Source organism: Homo sapiens, chromosome 1 (genome assembly GCF_000001405.40).
Source record: "Homo sapiens chromosome 1, GRCh38.p14 Primary Assembly".
In the NCBI taxonomy this organism is placed as follows: domain Eukaryota; kingdom Metazoa; phylum Chordata; class Mammalia; order Primates; family Hominidae; genus Homo; species Homo sapiens.
The window spans coordinates 212,465,951-212,483,475 of record NC_000001.11 but is presented as its reverse complement, the minus strand read 5'-3'; the positions used below and the strand labels follow the sequence as shown (position 1 = coordinate 212,483,475).

At 48.3% G+C, this 17,525-nt stretch overlaps 1 long non-coding RNA gene across 1 annotated transcript, besides 4 other annotated features; it reads left to right on the top strand.

The window, feature by feature from the left end:
• Window positions 106–606: an enhancer, noted in NCBI's record as "H3K4me1 hESC enhancer chr1:212656212-212656712 (GRCh37/hg19 assembly coordinates)". NCBI's record gives its function as "activates a minimal SCP1, AML or CMV promoter by ChIP-STARR-seq in naive H9 embryonic stem cells {active_cell/tissue: H9 hESC(naive)}" and the evidence as "EXISTENCE:reporter gene assay evidence [ECO:0000049][PMID:30033119]".
• Window positions 10,598–16,660, top strand: LINC02771 (long intergenic non-protein coding RNA 2771). Its single transcript, NR_183725.1, has 3 exons — window positions 10,598–10,799; window positions 15,643–15,809; window positions 16,379–16,660. It is a non-coding gene; the product is annotated as a long intergenic non-protein coding RNA 2771 (long non-coding RNA).
• Window positions 10,893–11,393: an enhancer, noted in NCBI's record as "H3K4me1 hESC enhancer chr1:212645425-212645925 (GRCh37/hg19 assembly coordinates)". NCBI's record gives its function as "activates a minimal SCP1, AML or CMV promoter by ChIP-STARR-seq in naive H9 embryonic stem cells {active_cell/tissue: H9 hESC(naive)}" and the evidence as "EXISTENCE:reporter gene assay evidence [ECO:0000049][PMID:30033119]".
• Window positions 11,394–11,894: an enhancer, noted in NCBI's record as "H3K4me1 hESC enhancer chr1:212644924-212645424 (GRCh37/hg19 assembly coordinates)". NCBI's record gives its function as "activates a minimal SCP1, AML or CMV promoter by ChIP-STARR-seq in naive H9 embryonic stem cells {active_cell/tissue: H9 hESC(naive)}" and the evidence as "EXISTENCE:reporter gene assay evidence [ECO:0000049][PMID:30033119]".
• Window positions 15,235–15,529: a silencer, noted in NCBI's record as "tiled region #5085; HepG2 Repressive non-DNase unmatched - State 10:DNaseD, and K562 Repressive DNase matched - State 8:EnhW". NCBI's record gives its function as "represses a minimal TATA promoter and a strong SV40 promoter by Sharpr-MPRA in HepG2 and K562 cells {active_cell/tissue: HepG2 | K562}" and the evidence as "EXISTENCE:reporter gene assay evidence [ECO:0000049][PMID:27701403]".
• Window positions 16,661–17,525: the final 865 nt, after the last annotated feature.

The window sequence follows — 17,525 nt, the reverse complement described above, 5'->3', positions numbered from 1 at the left end:
TGAATGCCCCAGGTCAGGGTCAGCCACGCTTGGGAAGGCTTTGGGTGGCAACGCTAATGCCGGCCAGGAAACGGCAGCTGAGAGGGAGCTCACCACCACATTCTCCACATGTGCCAGTGCTAAGCAGCCACCTTCACCCAGACACCACCCAGTGGCCCTGAGCCCTGCCCACAGTCTCCACGGGCCAGGGACCGAGGGTCACAGGAGCGAGGAAGGAGCGGGAGGGTGAGTGGGAGAGAGGAACAAAGGGGCCTGTGGTCACCAACACCCACGCCATGCCAGGCAGTTGCCTCAGCTCCTCAAGGACAAAGGGCAGAGTTCTATTTCTAGCTCCCTGGAGGAGCAGGAGAAAATGATGCTCTTGTGTTCCGCACACTTGCAGTTGGCTCACTAATCCTTGGGCTACTGGTTGTGGTTCTGGGCTCCCACTATGCTGTCTCTAAGCCTCCGTGTCCACAGCCCACATGAATGCTTGAGGCTTGGTCACATGCTGGGGATCTCACGTGTTCCTGACCAAGCGTGGCCAGGCTCAAAGGCTGAGTCACCTGGTGCCAATGGCTGGACCCAAACATGTGTATGGCTGGAGAACCTTAGATCATCAACCACAAGTCCACTTCACACCCTTGCCAGGTGGCCCAGTCCAAAGCTGGGTGTGGAAGGACCGCAGAAGAGTGACTCTTCCGGAAAGGAAATAAATCCCTCTAATGATTTAAAAAAAGGGAGGGGGGACAAGAATAATCCATGTTCAGGATAACAGAGGAATCTCATTTTCCCTTGTTGTTTCCTAGGGCAATAGAATGCAACTCTGCCCTTCATAGAGTTGGGTTCCTCCTGGGTTACTCATCTGTCCCTAAGGACGAGTTGTTTATTCAAGAGTTAATAAAATTGAGAGCTTTTTGCCCTTTGAACATTCCTCCTCCTTCAGAATCTCTTGGTTTCCCTCTGCCATGCTCCTGTCATTGGTCAGGGCTGGAAGGAGCCTCAAGTCCACAGGTAAAGGTGGCTCCTGGACTGTGTCCTCTCCTCCCCTCAAACCCACAGGGCCTTGGGCTGGATCCTTCAGTCAGATCCTGAAGATGCCCTGAGGAAATGGCTCACCCATGCCACATATTTGAAGTCAACCAAACAGAAAATAGTTGCTTTACTATTTAATCAATCTTAACCAAGACAGGATTAAACAATATAGTAAGGGAAGAAGTCCAAGAGGACCAGTCTCTTCCGGTTGCCTGTACATCAGCTTTGACCAATGACCCACTGAAACCAGAGTGTCCGTGTCAACATCTGGCTCCCATCACTTACAGCCTCACTTCATTCTTCCCTGCTCTGCCAAGATCCAAGTGGTGCCAACTTCCTCTCTGCACCTTGCACCTCCAACCACACATGATCTCTTCTCTCCATGTGGTCTGTCTGCCCCAATAAATTGGAGAGACCTGTCAGACAGCAACAGCTTTGCCTTCTTCACTTCATTTTGTCCCCATCATCTGCAACAGTGCCTGGGCTGTGATAGAGGCACTGTAAAATATGTAAAGGGTGGGCCGGGTGAGGTGGCTCATGCCTACAATCCCAGCATTTTGGGAGGCCGAGGAGGGTGGATCACTTAGGTCAGGGGTTCAAGACCACCTGACCAACATGGTCTCTATAAAATACAAAGATACAAAAATTAGCTGGGTGTGATGGCATGTGCCTGTAATCCCAGCTACTCAGGAGGTTGAGGCAGGAGAATTGCTTGAACCCAGGAGGCAGAGGTTGCAGTGAGCTGAGATCTCACCACTGCACTCCAGCCGGTGCAACAGAGCAAGACTCCATCTCAAAAAAAAAAAAAAATGTACAGGGTGAAAGAATTAATTAAATATTCATTACAGCTAAGTTTTTCCATGTAAAGAGGAAAAAAATGAAAAGTCAGCATGACTTTCAAAACTTTTATTTTTTTTGGCAGTACAAACCTTTCCTTCCATGCATAGCTGCATTTTTATAAAACAAACAAAGCAAAACAAAACACCTTTCTTATTCCAAGAAAATCTAACCTAGGACCCGAAAGAAATTTTTTTCTTCTCTTTTTTTTTTTTTTTTTTTAGACAGAGTCTCACTCTGTTGCCCAGGCTGGAGTGTGGTGGTGCAATCTAGCCTCACTGCAACCTCCACCTCCCGGGTTCAAGCAATTCTCACACCTCCGCCTCACAAGTAGCTGGGATTACAGGCGTCCACCACCACGCCCGGCTAATTTTTTTTGTATTTTTAGTAGAAATGGGGTTTTGCCATGTTGGTCAGGCTGGTTTCAAACTCCTGACCTCAAATGATCCACCCACCTTAGCTTCCCAGAGTGCTGGGATTACAGGCATGAGCCACCACACCCAGCCTAAGCCCCAAAATAAATTTTTAAAAAGCAGCATACTCAAGTAAGGTTGCCATGTTTAGCAAATAAAAATACAGGAACAAAGGAAAAATAGAACAGTTTCTCTACTCACATAACACTTCTGACATCAAACGTGTGAGGTTTTCACACCAAGCAATTCTCTAAGTCTCTGAGGACACCGAGTGTCCTACAATTTAATTCAATTCTGACACTACGCAGTCAACACAGACCCCACAGGCTAAGCACTCAGTCCCACAAGACTGCGCCCACTTCCGACACCAATCGCAAGTACTGGGTCCCTAGGTTATCCACACTTGGCTGCAAATCAGGAGTTCCCATGACCCCTTCCTCAGGTTCAATAATTTGCTATCATGGCCCACAGAACTCAGGGAAACACTTTACTTACTATAATGGATTTATTATAAAGGATATTATAAAGGATACAAATGAACAGCCAGATGAAGAGGTACTGTATATATCATCTCAGCTACTCAGGAGGCTGAGGCAGAAGCATACCTGAGGCCAGGAGTTCAAAACCAGCCTGGGAAACATAGCAAGACCCCATCTCAAAAAAAGGAGGGAAGGTACTGTACATACAGGGAGGTCCAGGGTCCCAAGCACAGGAGCTTCTATTCCATGGAATTGGGGTGCACCACCCTCCCAGCGTGCTGATGCATTTGCCAACCGGAAGTTCTCTGAGCTGTGTTCTCTAGGGTTTTTATGGGAGATCCACTATGCAGGCATGATTGGTAAAAATTATTGACCATTGTTAACTAACTCAATCTCCAGCCCCTAACCCCTTCCCAGATTTGGGAGAGAACTGAAAACTCTAGTCATTCTCTGGTCTTTCTGGTGACTGTCTCCCAACCTGAAGCTATCTAGAGGCCCCCAGCCACCAGTTATCTCATTAACATATAAAAAGACACTCATCACTCTGGAGATTTCAAGGGTCTTAGAAGCTTTGTTTTAGGAACTGGAGACTGAGACCAAATAGTACAAGAGATGCTCCTATCTCCCCAGTCACTCAGGAAATTACAAGTGCTTAGGAGCTCTGTCCAGGAACTGGGGATGAAGACCAAATATCTATTTCTTATTATATCACAATGTCACACAGGACATCCAGTTAAGTTTCAATTTTTAAAAAAATAAAAAATGTGTAAAGATCCCAAATATTACATGGGACCTATTTATACTAAAATTTTATCTGATTTTCAAATGTAACTGAGTGTCCTCTGTTTTATCTGACAGACCTCTACCTAGGGCTATGCATGCCTGGGGTCCCAGAGGTGACTGGGGTCTGTGCAGTCCAGTTTCTAAACCACAGTTTTAGGGAAAAGTGTGGCTCTCTCGTTCTGCTTCCCTCTCCTGTCCCTGGAGCCATTCTGCTCTTGAGCAGAGCTAAGGCTCCCTTCCCCAGCAGCAGTGCCTGAGACCCCAGCATCTGTGTGCTTCCAGTGGAGGAAAGTCTATGAAACAATGGACTTAGTTTCCTGAAGCGTTGGAGTGTTTCCTTTTTTCTTTCTTTTTTTTCCTGAGACAGGGGTTCACTCTGTCACCCAGGCTAGAGCTCAGTGATGCGATCTCAGCTCACTGCAGCCTCGACCTCCTGGGCTCAAGCGATCCTCCCACCTCAGCTTCCGGAGTAGCTGGGATTACAGGCGTGAGCCACTACGCCTGGATGGAGTGTTTTCTAAGGGTCAGAATAACTCCATACATAGCCAACATTTATGACAAACAACTATATCAGTTCACACAATCACTTCAAGTGAAACAGATTGCTTCATACTCTGTTTCCACAGAGGTCCTCCTTCTCCCTGATGGATGGCCGCCTGTCCTGGGCAGGCACATTATAAAACTGCAGCTGCCTTGCTTTCCCCTTCCTGCTCCCCAGCCCATTCCTTCTGTGAGGAATGACCACACTCAAACCATTCATCCTGGTTCTGTTGGGTGGATACTGGTGACTTCTGCGGGAACCAGTGCTGGAGATGACGGGGCAACTGACACACCTCTCTGTCTTCACTCCCCTCACCCCAACAAAGCAGCAAAAGGACTTCTTGGATACTCAGATGAACTCCTGAGTGCCTTCCAGAATGAGCTCATTCTAGAGAGGAAACCGGTGAATCCCGCAGAGGACATCTGTTGATTTTTGTCTGCTTACATTTGAGTCCTTCCTATGTGGAGGAGTCCTCCAGGGGGTGGTCTCGACAGGAAGCAGACAGTCTTCTAGGGCCCATGTTTGACCCAGGCTCAGCCCGTGGGATGCTCAGGCTGGGGGCTTTGACTCTTGAGGGAGAGACAGGTAATTAGAGACGGTGCACACCTGTAGTCCCAGCTACTCAGAACACTAAGGTGGAAGGATTGCTTGAGTCTGGGAGGTCAAGCCATGGCAGTGGGGTCGAGAGTCCAGCAGTCCATGGTAACTGGTAGCAGAATTCACACAGGCATCCTGACCCCGAGGCTGAGCGGCTGTGACTAGGTTCTTAGCTACCTGGCCTTCAGGGTGTTCCCTGCCCATTTTCCCGAACCTGGTTTGCCAGACACGAATCAATCCTGTAAACCATCCAATATTCTTTCTCATAAGCTCGTTCTTAGCTTGAGTTAGCCAGAGTGAGTTCCTGCCGTTTGCAGCAAGAGCACTCACAGATACAATCTATAGGTTGTCACACTTCACCCCTCTCACTCACTGCCCCACTCCGTGGTGATGTTAAATAAAATTTATAGGAGCCCATTGTTTTGGACTGAGGTCCTACACTAGGCCCCAACAGACCAAGCCAAAATGGAGTCACTCGTGCTAAGTGCTGCATAATCAAACTGAAACTTTATGAAGCAGGAAAATCCCCTAACAGATCATGTTTTCCTAAAAATAGGAGATTTATGGCAACCAATTGGAAAGGGCCCAGTAAACCTGAGCTGGCACGATAAGATAGTCCTCTTTCCTTTAACCCTTATAAGGAAAGCAACCTGACGTTAACTCATCTGCTTTTTTGTGGTATTCTGTTTCCTTGTTCCTGCTCAAGCTACCTTACAATGGATCTGTCGTGCCGAGTGGAACTCCCTCTATTTTGGAAGATATGCTGTCTGATTCCTGGATCACTAATAAAAGCCAAGTAGGGCTAGGCACAGTGGTGCATGCCCGCAGTCCCAGCTACTCAGGAGGCTGAGGCAAGAGGATCACTTAAGCCCAGGAGTTCAAGACTGTAGTGAGCTATGATTGCCCCATTGCACTGCAGCCTGGACAACAGAGTGAGACTTTGTCTCAATTAAAAAAAAAAAAAAGGTTGGGTGTGGTGGCTCATGCCTGTAATTCCAGCACTTTGAGAAGCCAAGGCTGGCAGATCACTTGAGCACAAGACCAGCCTGGGCAACATGGTGTAACCCCTTCTTTTACAAAAGAAATAGCTCAGCTTTATGGTGCGCATCTGTAGTCCCAGCTACTCTGGAGGCTAAGGTGGGAGGATCGCTTGAGCCTGGGAGGTCAAGGCTGCGGTGAGCCGAGATCGCACCACTGCAACTCCAGCCTGGATGACAGGGCAAGACCCTGTCTCAAAAAAAAAAAAAAAAAAAAGGAAAGCCAATTACTTGTTTCACTATGTTGAAATTTTATTTTTTAACAGTGCCCTTGGTTGGCCAGCTCTGCGCATAAAAGTGAAGATGGCGTGGCAGATGCCAAGAGACCCACAAAGGGGCTGTGCAGATTCCGGGAGTGAGATGTGGCGGTGTCTGGAAGGACAGAGCAAGAAGAGCAGGTCTGGGGTTTCCCAGGCCAGATGCTTGTCTACCCTCTACTGCTCTCTAGTGGCCAGAGTCCAGAAGCCGGGCAAGCCTTTCAGCTTTCCTCCTCAGAATAATGTCAGAGCAAGTGGGAGCACAGAGGAGAAGCTCCCGGCTCTACAGGTCAGAGGACACAGTGCTTCCACTGAGCGTCATAAGTCTTTATAATGGGGCCAGACCAGCTGGCAGGGCTGTGACAGGCAAGGTGCAGGGAATGACATGGGCAAAACCATGGAGACTTGAGATTATATTGCACCGTCAGAGAATGCAAATTATTTGGTAGGACCAGAAGCTAGGGTGTGAAGAGGGTGGTGAAGAATGGGCCTGAGACCAGTGGAACAGAACAGAAGCCTCAGAAATAACACCACACATCTACAACCGTCTGATCTTTAACAAACCTGAAAAATAAAAAAGAAATGGGGAAAGGATTCCCTATTTAATAAATGGTGCTGGGAAAACTGGCTAATCATATGTACAAAGCTGAAACTGGATCCTTTCCTTACACCTTACACAAAAATTAATTCAAGATGGATTAAAGACTTAAATGTAAGGCCTAAAACCATAAAAACCCTAGAAGAAAACCTAGGCAATACCATTCAGGATATAGGCATGGGCAAGGATTTCATGACTAAAACACCAAAAGCAATGGCAACAAAAGCCAAAATAGACAAATGGGATCTAATTAAACTAAAGAGCTTCTGCACAGCAAAAGAAACTACCATCTGAGTGAACAGGCAACCTACAGAATGGGAGAAAATTTTTGCAATCTACCCATCTGACAATGGGCTAATATCCAGAATCTACAAAGAACTTAAACAAATTTATGAGAAAAAAAAAACCCCATCAAAAAGTGGGCAAAGGATATGGAACAGATACGTCTCAAAAGAAGACATTTATGTGGCCAACACGCAGGAAAAAATGCTCATCATCACTGGTCATTAGAGAAATGCAAATCAAAACCACAATGAGATACCATCTCACGCCAGTTAGTATGGCGATCATTAAAAAGTCAGGAAACAACAGATGAGATGCTGGAGAGGATGTGGAGAAATAGGAATGCTTTTACACTGTTGGTGTAAATCAGTTCAACCATTGTGGAAGACAGTGTGGCAATTCCTCAAGGATCTAGAACTTGAAAGACCATTTGACCCAGCAATCTCATTACTGGGTATATACCCAAAGGATTATAAATCATGCTACTATAAAGACACATGCACACGTATGTTTATTGTGGCACTATTCACAATAGCAAAGACTTGGAGCCAACCCAAATGTCCATCAATGATAGACTGGTTAAAGAAAATGTGGCACATATACACCATGGAATACTATGCAGCCATGAAAAAGAATGAGTTCATGTCCTTTGCAGGGACATGGATGAAGCTGGAAACCATCATTCTCAGCAAACTATCACAAGGACAGAAAACCAAACACCGCATGTTCTCACTCATAGGTGGGAACTCAACAATGAGAACACTTGGACACAGGGCGGGGGAACATCACACACCAGGGCCTGTCAGGGGGTTGGGGGCTGGGGGAGGGATAGCATTAGGAGATATACCGAATGTAAATGACAAGTTGATGGGTGCAGCAAACCAATATGGTACATGTATACCTATGTAGCAAACCTGCACGTTGTGCACATGTACCTTAGAACTTAAAGTATAATAAAAAATAAATAAATAAAAAAGAAGAAGAGTGGGTTTGAGAGATGGCCTGAGGCTTTGCCTAGAAGGGAGTTTGGAATGCATCATAGACCATTGAAAGCCTTCCAAGGGTTTAAGCAGGGGCATAATATAGGGATTCCTCCTAGAAAGAAACATTCTCAAATTTGCACTTTAGAAAGATCATTTTAGCAAGAGTGTGGAGTATGGAATAGAGAGTCTAGTAGCTGAGGCCCTGCCCTCAGCTAAGCAATGTCAGTGGGGACAGAGAAAAGAGAACCCATTCATCCTTTATTCATTCATCTAAGACATATGCCAGGCTTGCTGGAATTGCAAAGCTGCGCCCAGAAACCCACATTCTCCCCTTTCTGCACAATGTGGAAGAAAGCCACGGACCTGCCCACATACTTGGAGCCCCAAAATCTTGACCGTCGCTGGCAAGAGTTGGAGCCTGATTTGTGTGGGCAGTTCAGCTGCTTTATTTTTTTAGCATTGATAACTGGCATACTGATTAGGTAACAACTCTTAAGAATTGAATAGTACTACATCGCCATTTTATAGGAATAAGGAAATTGAGGCATAGCAAGGCAGGTTCCACCCAAGGCCAGCTGGCTCCTGAGTCTATCCTCTTAACCATTCGCTATTCCTTCCTCTTTGTGCTGATCACACAGCAATGCTCAGGATGCTCAGAACAGCTTTGGGGAGTGTTTTGCCTCTAATGTCCTCATCTTGTTCTCTAGCCTCATTCAACCTGTTTCCTGTTCCCTGGAAGTCATTTTATGGCTAAATAAATCCCAACGAAATGTTAACTCTGAAGACAGGCACCTCCTGCCTTCTCCCCTGGACCCCCTTTCTGCTTGGAGTCCTGGTGTTTGCCATAGTGTCTGTATTTTCAGAAGGTTAATGGGTGCAGGATCCCACATTAGGACTTACAGGGAGGGCTCAGCCTCTGACCTCAGAAAATTCAGGTCCCAGGGGGAGTCAAGACAGATGAACTATTCAGTCTGTTCGTTATTCTAGCTATCAGCATCTTCAGCTAACCTGGTGTTTTTTAATGTAGTTTGAGAGTCTCTAAATTGATTTCATGACCCACTAACTAGCATCTCAAATCACATTTTATTTAAATGAAATTGAATGAAATACAAAACATGAAGTGTATTGCATATAGTACAATTAATAATTGTTTCAAGAAAATTTCTGTTTTAGTTGTGTGTATCTGAGTGTATATGTGTGTGTGTGTGTGTGTACACACTTGATTACAATATAAAATACATTTCTTACTGTGAGTCCAGTCAAAAAGTTAAAGCACCACATATCTTAATATTTTCTCCCTCTGGCTTCACAATAATTGTTTGCAGCAGTTTTACAACCTATGGTTTGTTCAAGGAAATACGAAAAAAGAGTTTTGATCCGCGGACCTGTGAAGGAGCAGAGGAGCCAGGCTGAGCCAGCACATGAGGGAAGCCCTTGGATCCAGACACTGCAGCAGAGCTAGGGCTGGCCAAAGGGCTGCATGGACAATAACTGGCTCACACTGAGGGCCCCGCTCCTCACCTGCCTATCTTAAGCCACCTGTTCTCTCTCTCTCTCTCTCTCTCTCTCTTTTTCTTTAAATACAGATGGCGTCTCGCTATGTTGCCCAGGTTGGTCTCAAAACTCCTGACCTCAAGCGATCCTCTCACCTCAGCCAACCAAAGTGCTGGGATTACAGGCATGAGTCACTGCACCTGGCCCAGTCACCTGTTCATGAAAACCCCAAGGCTCGCTGCTACCCAACCCGAGGTCAAGACTGGCCAGAAGGTGTGCAGATACCCTCTCGCCTATTCAGCTGTTGCCTACTGAAGCCTGATCTGCAGCTCCCACTGCACCGCTCAGGCAGCCAAATGGGGAGGAAAAACCACAGAGTGGTCGTAAGCTGTTCTTCCGCAGGCTCTTAAGCATTGGTCTCTAACCAACAAGGCCTGGCATATGTATTGAATTTATTTATTTATCATTATTATTGTTATTTTAGAGCTGGAGGTCTTGCTTTGTTGCCTAGGCTGGTCTTGAACCTTCTCACCCATTGCTTGGACCAGCTGGCAGCCCACGGGTATACCCCAAGCAATCCTCCTGCCTCGGCCTGCCAAAGTGCTGGGATTACAAGCATGAGCCACCATGCCTGGCCTTGAATGTACTGAACTTATTCTTCCGTGTATCCCAGGCACAGACCCACTTTCTGTGAATGGGAGAGTGGTCTGGCCATGGCTCACTGGCCTGTGGGTTAGCAGGACTGATTTGGCTGCTTCTCAGAGGCCCCTCCAACCAGAGCTGCGTCTTCATTCAGGGAAGATGACCTTCTCCAAAAGGGCCCCTCTCCAGACCCTACAATCAAAGGTATGCCTCTGTGTGGAAACCACATAAATGCACTTATCTTTCCTCTACAAAACTGAAACTCCTGACACCCCCAACTCCCCACCATCTGGGCAGGGTGGTTTTGTTTTTTTCCAAGAAGCAAATAATTCTAGAAGTCAGAGAGAGTGGGGCCCGGAATCAGGCAGCCTGGACTTTCATCTCAGATCTGCTTATGAGAGAATGCCTGTGGGCAGGTTGTTTAGCCTCCCCAAGGGTCAGCGGCCTCCCCTGTAAAGCAGAAGATAATAATAGCTCCTATTTCAGCAGGTTACCATGAGAATAAAATAAGGTAATACAGGAAGGCAGGTAATCCAATACTCAGCATATAGTAAATGCTCACTAAATACTACCTACCATCATCATAATGACTGTGGTTATTATGACAGTCTCTAGGCAGCCCCAGAGTGGCCATAGGTCTGAGAGCCCCACAGGGCCCCTCCTGGTTGATTCCCCAAATCCACTTCTCCATCACCCTCACTGACCTTCTCCCACTGTGAGGCCTCCTGCCTTCCACAGGACCTGCCTGCTGTCTCACCTCTTCATAGCTCACCTCTCTTCTCTACCCCAAGGCTGGCTTTGAGGGACCCTGGCTCCACAGTCCTTGCCACAGTATGAACAAGGTAATGTGGGGTCTGGCACGAAAGGACCTGGGTTAGAGTCCTTGCTCGGCTGCTGCCTGTAGGGAGGCATGGCTGTGTCCTTCAAGTAAATCAGGATGGACCAGAGACGGGTACCAAGTCTGAGACCCCACCAACAAGGATGGTCTCACCCATCAGGCAGGGCCCAGGGCCTAAGGTTTGTGACCGTGGCTCCTTGCTGCAGGTGGAAGTGGCAGCTAATGTCCAGTAGGCAGAAGGATGCATCCTGGGGCCAGGGTGTGGAAACGGGAGCAGGCAGGCAGCCTCTGTCCATCTCCTGGACAGGGTTCAAGGGACACACAATGGGAGCAGGACCTCAGATTGAGGGAACTGAGGCTGGAGCCCAGACACACAACCTGGGCGGGGAGAGTTTCTGCGATGTCTTGTTTTTGTGGAAAAGTCTTGGACGCACACACTGGTAGCTGAAGGTTCACCATCTGCGGAATCTACATGGGGACAGTCTATGAGCACGGGTGATGATGAGCCCAATGAGGGGATTCGCTGCAGCGACCCACCTGGGCCCTGAGCCCTGGATCAGCCTGGAGGGGCTGAACCCCTCCCTGCTAAGGCCGCTGTGTGGGGAGGGGCTGTGCTGGTCCTGGGGACTTCCTGCCTGAAGACGGGTGTGGGCCAGTGGGAACAGAGCCTGCAGCTGGCTCCGCACTCCCAGAGCCAGGAGGCAGGCATGGGAAATAGGCTCACAGAATACTCATTGTATACTAAGAGACGTTTGTCCCCTGAGCCCCCTTTTACTCTTCTAGAAGGCGGGAATGGCGATGATTTCCAATATATAAATTCATAGGTGTGTTACTGAAATGAATACAAGGAGTGGTTTGCAAACAGCTGAACTAACGTTCTTATAGTGTCATTAATTATCCTTGGGGTAAGTACGCAAACCCTTTGTTTTACAAGAATCACTACAATCTAAAGATAACACAACAAGTTGGGAAAGTTACAAAGGTTTCTGAAATCAGAAAAGGCTTCTGAGCAAGAACGGCTTTGGTTATTACTCCAGCCATGGTGGGGATGAGTGCCTGCATGGGGGAGGAGGGGGCACAGTTATTTTGGCTCCAAACTGGCAACAAAACAGGGTTTTGAGTTCTTCTGAACCAGGTGAGTGCCGGCCCCAGGGCTTGGCCAGTGTTCAGGGATGGGGTCTCAGTGGTCAGTCAGAACCACAGCCTGAGACCTCCCTGCCCTAAGCCAATCCTAGGGTGTCTGGGGAAGGCCTTCGGCCAACATGGACAAGTCAATGGTGGAGCAGAGGAGCTGGGCTCAACACCACCCTTGGGGTTAAATGAGCTGAGGCAGGGAAAAGGGCATCAAGCCAGCACTTCTCATACATTGAAGAGATTTTTGTGATGTTGCAGTTATTTTCATATCTCCCCATGCCTTCCACCTTCTCAACAAGTCTGCCCAATTATTATCTCATTTTTTTATTATTTTATTTTATTTTATTTGCAACAGTTTCACTCTGTCGCCCAGGCTGGAATGCAGTGGCACCATCTTGGCTCACTGCAACCTCCACCTCCCGGGTTCAAGCAATTCTCACACCTCCGCCTCCCAAGTAGCTGGGATTACAGGCGTCCACCACCATGGCTGGCTAATTTTTGTATTTTTAGTAGAGACGGGGTTTTGCCATGTTGGCCAGGCTGGTCTCAAACTCCTGACCTCAGGTGATTCGCCCGCCTTGGCCTCCCAAAGTGCTGGGATTACAGGTGTGAGCCACCGTGCCCAGCCCTATTATCTCATTTTTAACTGAAGAGACAAATAAGACTCAGACAGAGTGATTTGTCTAAGGGCACACAGCAAGCTAATGGCCAAGTTGGGATGAGAACCTCTCCCTGTGGTGTTTGGAAGGACAGAGTCCCAGGACCGGGGCAGGAACAGACCTGGGCTGCAGCTAGGAGCTCAATGGAGTTCAATGGACCGGAGCCTGGCAGGTCCACGCCCAAAGGCAAATGGAAAATGTCTCACTGGATTAATACAGCATCTGGTGGTGGCAGGTGGGAGATATGTCCTTTCTTTTTTATAGTTTTCTGTATCGATCTGGAATTTTGTATAAGCAAGCTTTCCATTTACAATTAGACAAAATAATCAGATTATACTCCAGGGGTCAAGGGGGTAGAGATCCCACCCACACGTGGCCAAGGTAGGGCCCTTCACCCACCAGCAGCTGCCTTTGTGGGCGGGTCTCTGGTCTCACCACACCAGAGCCCCTCGGAACGCTCTTTTCCTGAGATGACTTCCATTCTCCAGTTCTCTCAGCTCAGCCTCCCTCTTGGCAGTCACGGCTGCCCTCCCTCATCCCTCGAGGGTTTTCCAGCAATCCTTTGCACATAGCTCCTTGGCAGAAGATAGGGAGATCACATGGCTGCGTGACGGTGTTTTCTGACTCACGGAATGGAAAGAAACACTACACACAAAAGCAGCACACAGGGCCTCTGTTGCGAGTTGGGCTAACTACTCGGTGTGGGGCGTGATTCATCCGGGACTGCCTGGCGAGTGTACATGCTCGCAGGGCAAGGGCAGCGCAGCACTGAGCTACTCAGGCCCAGGCCCCTCCCAGGCAGAGCAATGAGTCCAGCAGCTCTGCCCGCAAGGGTCTGGGGCTGCCATGGGCTAACCAAGAGGTGTCTGAGGAGATTGCAGACAGTGGCTGGAGACGGAAGGTGAAAAAGTTAGAAGATCCAGGTTGGAAAAATTTGAGGAAGAAAGTAGTCAGACAGGTGTGGGCAGAATAGGGTCAAACTCTCCTGCAGACCAGGACACAGGCTCTGACTTCTCCACACCACACCCCAGGCCCTCCAGGTACAGCAGACACATGCTCACCATCATCAGAAAGGTTCTAATAAAATATTGATGTATTTATTATTATTTTGTTTATTTATTTATTGAGATGGAGTCTCACTCTGTCACCAGGCTGGAATGCAGTGGCGTGATTTTGGCTCACTGCAACCTCTGCCTCCCTGGTTCAAGCGATTCCCCTGCCTCAGCCTCCTGAGTAGCTGGGACTACAGGCGTGCGCCATCACGCCCAGCTAATTTTTTTGTGTGTTTTAGTAGAGACGGGGTTTCATCGTGTTGGCCAGGATGGTCTCGATCTCCTGACCTCATGATCTGCCCGCCTTGGGCTCCCAAAGTGCTGGGATTACAGGCATGAGCCACCACACCAGTCCAGTTGATTTATTTTTAATACAAAGGCCAGTCACTATCTAAGTCCTTGACCTGTGCTATCCCACTTGATCATCCTAACAGCCCTGTGGAAACATCAGTGAACCCATTTTGCAGATAAGAAAATTCTATCCAGAAACACAAAATAACTTGCCCAAGGTCAGACAGCTACTAAAGAAAATTCTAACCCAAATCATCTGGCTCCAGAGTCTGTGCTTTAAACACACTGCCTCTCCACAATGCCACCTAGAGAGCTCCTACTGTGGGCCAGACACTGTCCTTCACATACATTACTGATTTAATCCTCACAGCAACAATGCAATCAAAGTATTATTGCCCCATTTTATTTTTCATTTATTTATTTTATTTTAATTTTTGTTTGTTTATTTGTTTTTGAGATGGAGTCTCACTCTGTCACCCAGGCTAGAGTGCAATGGTGCCATCTCAGTTCACTGCAACTTCTACCTCCCGGGTTCAAGAGATTCTCCTGCCTCAGCCTCCTGAGTAGCTGGGACTACAGGTGCCTGCCACCATGCCCAACTAATTTTTTTGCATTTTTTAGAAGAGACGGGGTTTCACCATGTTGGCCAGGCTGGTCTCAAACTCCTGACCTCAGGTGATCCACCTGTCTCAGCCTCCCAAAGTGTTGGGATTACAGGTGTGAGCCATCATGCCCGGCCATCCCATTTTAAAGATAAGAACACTGAAATCCAGGCCAGGTGCAGTGGCTCACACCTGTAATCCCAGCACTTTGGGAGGCTAAGGCGGTGGGGGTGGGGGGGGGTCACCTGAGGTTAGGAGTTCAAGACCAGCCTGACTAACATGGTGAAACCCCATCTCTACTAAAAATATAAAAATTATCTGGGCCTGGAGGTGCATGCCTCCAGTAATCCTAGCTACTTGGGAGGCTGAGGCAGGAGAATCACCTCCTGCAGTGAGCCGAGATCGTGGCACTGCACTCCAGCCTGGGCAACAGAGTGAGACTCAAGAAAGGGAAGACAAGAGGAGGGGAGGGGAAGGGAAGGGAAAAACTGTAGTTTCAAGGGGTTAAGTATGTTGCCCAAAGCCAAAGCCACTTTGGGCTCACTAGCTACCAGCTAGTAAGTGGTGATGTGGAGACTCACCCAACTCAGGTAAAGTCCATGATCTTCACCACAGCATCTGTGTTCTTGTCACTTTCTGGGACGGTGTTTCTCTCTTCTGAGTCCTCCACCCCCTCACCTGTGGTTTGGATTGGTTGGAGTTTGACTGAGTAGTAATGGCCACTTGGTTGGTTTCCATGGCCTGGCGTGTGCTGTAGCTGTAGGAGAGGGCTGCCTGTGTCCATGAGAACAAGGAAGCCTTCAGGAGAGAAATCAGCCACTGCCACCCCCCAGTCCTTTAGGAGGCAGTCAGGCTGCTGACAAAGGGACCTCACGCTCCTCCCACGCATTGCCTGGACCAGCTGGCAGCCCACAGGGGTGGCTTCAGGTAGCCTCCCCAGCAAGGAGGAGAGGGATGGAGGGCTGGCTGGAGGAGCACATGGGGAGCACTCCTCAAATGCTTCCTAGAGGTCATGGAGTCAGTGCCACAACCAGTTCTTATTAACCCAGAGGAAGAGACTTCCGGCAGGGGAGAGATGCCTCGGGACAGCATGGTCTTTTGTCTTTCAGGTCACTTCCTGCTGCAGAGTCCTCACTCCAGCTTTCTCACCAATCCTCCCCCTACACAAGAAGATCATCTCTGGGTTCAGGTCACCCATCCAACTCCACTGATGGATTTAGGCTCATTTAATCCAAACTCGACTCCATTTCAGCCAGAACCAGGCACCTCTAGAAAGGTAATTTTGCAGCATACAAAAATGTAAGCAACCAAATAATGCAACCCACTTGAAGAGAGCTGGCTTGAGATTACCTGCTGCTCAGGTTATCTCTGTCATTGATGCCCACATTCGTGGAAAATTAAACCCTGGGTGTGTGATTTGGACTGTCACCTGGCAATGCACGTTAACAGGCATGCCTGCAGGTAGAATGACACTTCAACACCAGTCGTTGGCTTTCCCAAGTTAGGAATTCTTTTACTGGGCTTGGTTTCAGAAGGGGCCAGAGGCTGTTGGTGAGCAGGGAAGAGAACTTTCATTTTCTTCGTACATTTGTTGTTTGCATTTTTTTCCCCTGCAAGCACCTATGACTTGTATAATGCAAAGATATTTCAAAGACGCCTGACAGAGACAGCAGTCCTGGGTGCATGTGCGGCTTGCGGCTCACTGATCTCCAGACCCCTGGATCTTGGCAAAGCTGACAGGCCTTCTGTAGGGAGGATGGGAGAAAAAACAGCCTAAGAAGGAAGCTGCACGTCCGCAACTCCCTCCTGGGACCTGCAAACCCGTTCTTTTGCATTCCTTTGCAGGTCACCCTAACTGCCACATCCAGTTCCTGATCTGCCATCTGCTTCTTTTCCATCACTTGTGGGGTATTTCCCAGCCTACCACTAATGTGAGCCCTCCTGAGTCAAAAGTTCCCCTCTTCCAGGCCTCCTGCTCAGCTGACGTCCTGGACCAGGCAGGCCACCCTTGTTCCACTTCCCCTGGGAAGACACCTGGGTCTTGTGCCTGCCCTGGATTAGGGTGGGCAAATTAGTTCATCCAGGACTAGAAGAATGGAAATAAACAGACTTGTGTCTTGGGGCTGACTCTGAAAGGTCCAATGTTATGCCTAACAGAAAAGCTCACCTTCCTCCAAACCCCTGGAGCCATCTCAGGAGGCCCAGGGCCACCTATTCCATTCCTGACAAAACCCTAGATGCCCACATACTGCCCAGGTTGGTGGGTCTGGCCATGCTACCATTTGGATGTGGGTTGTCCCCGCCAAAACCCATGTTGAAATTTGATCCCCAGTGTGGTGGTGTAGTGGGAGGTGTTTGGGTCATGGGGCAGATCCTTCGTGAATAGATTCATTGGTGCATTCTGGCTCTCAAGAGAATAGATTAGTCCCCAAAAGCAGGGTTGCTAAGAAGAGTCTTGCTTCCTCAGTTTCTCTCTCTTGCTTCCTGTCTCTCCATGTGATCTCCATGCACACACTCATTCCCCTTTCTTTTCTCCATGAGTTGAAGCAGCCTGAGTCTTTCACCAGTACAGCTGCCCAATCTGAAGCCTTCCAGCCACCAGAATTCTGAGCCAAATAAGCCTCTTCCAAATAAGCCTCTTTTTTTTTTGAGATAGAGTCTCACTCTGTTGCCCAGGCTGGAATGCAATGGTGCAATCTCGGTTCACTGCAACCTCTGCTTCCCGGGTTCAAGGGATTCTCCTGCCTCAGCCTCCCAAGTAGCTGGGACTACAGGTACGTGCCACCATGCCCAGCTAATTTTTTTGTATTTTAGTAGAGACGGGGTTTCACCGTGTTGCCCAGGCTGGTCGCAAACTCCTGAGCTCAGGCAATCTGCCCATCTTCGCCTCCCAAGGTGCTGGAATTACAGGCATGAGCCACCACACCCGGCCTCTTTTTTTTTTTTTTTTTTTTAATAAATTGCCCAGCCTCAGGAGCTCTGTTATAGCAAC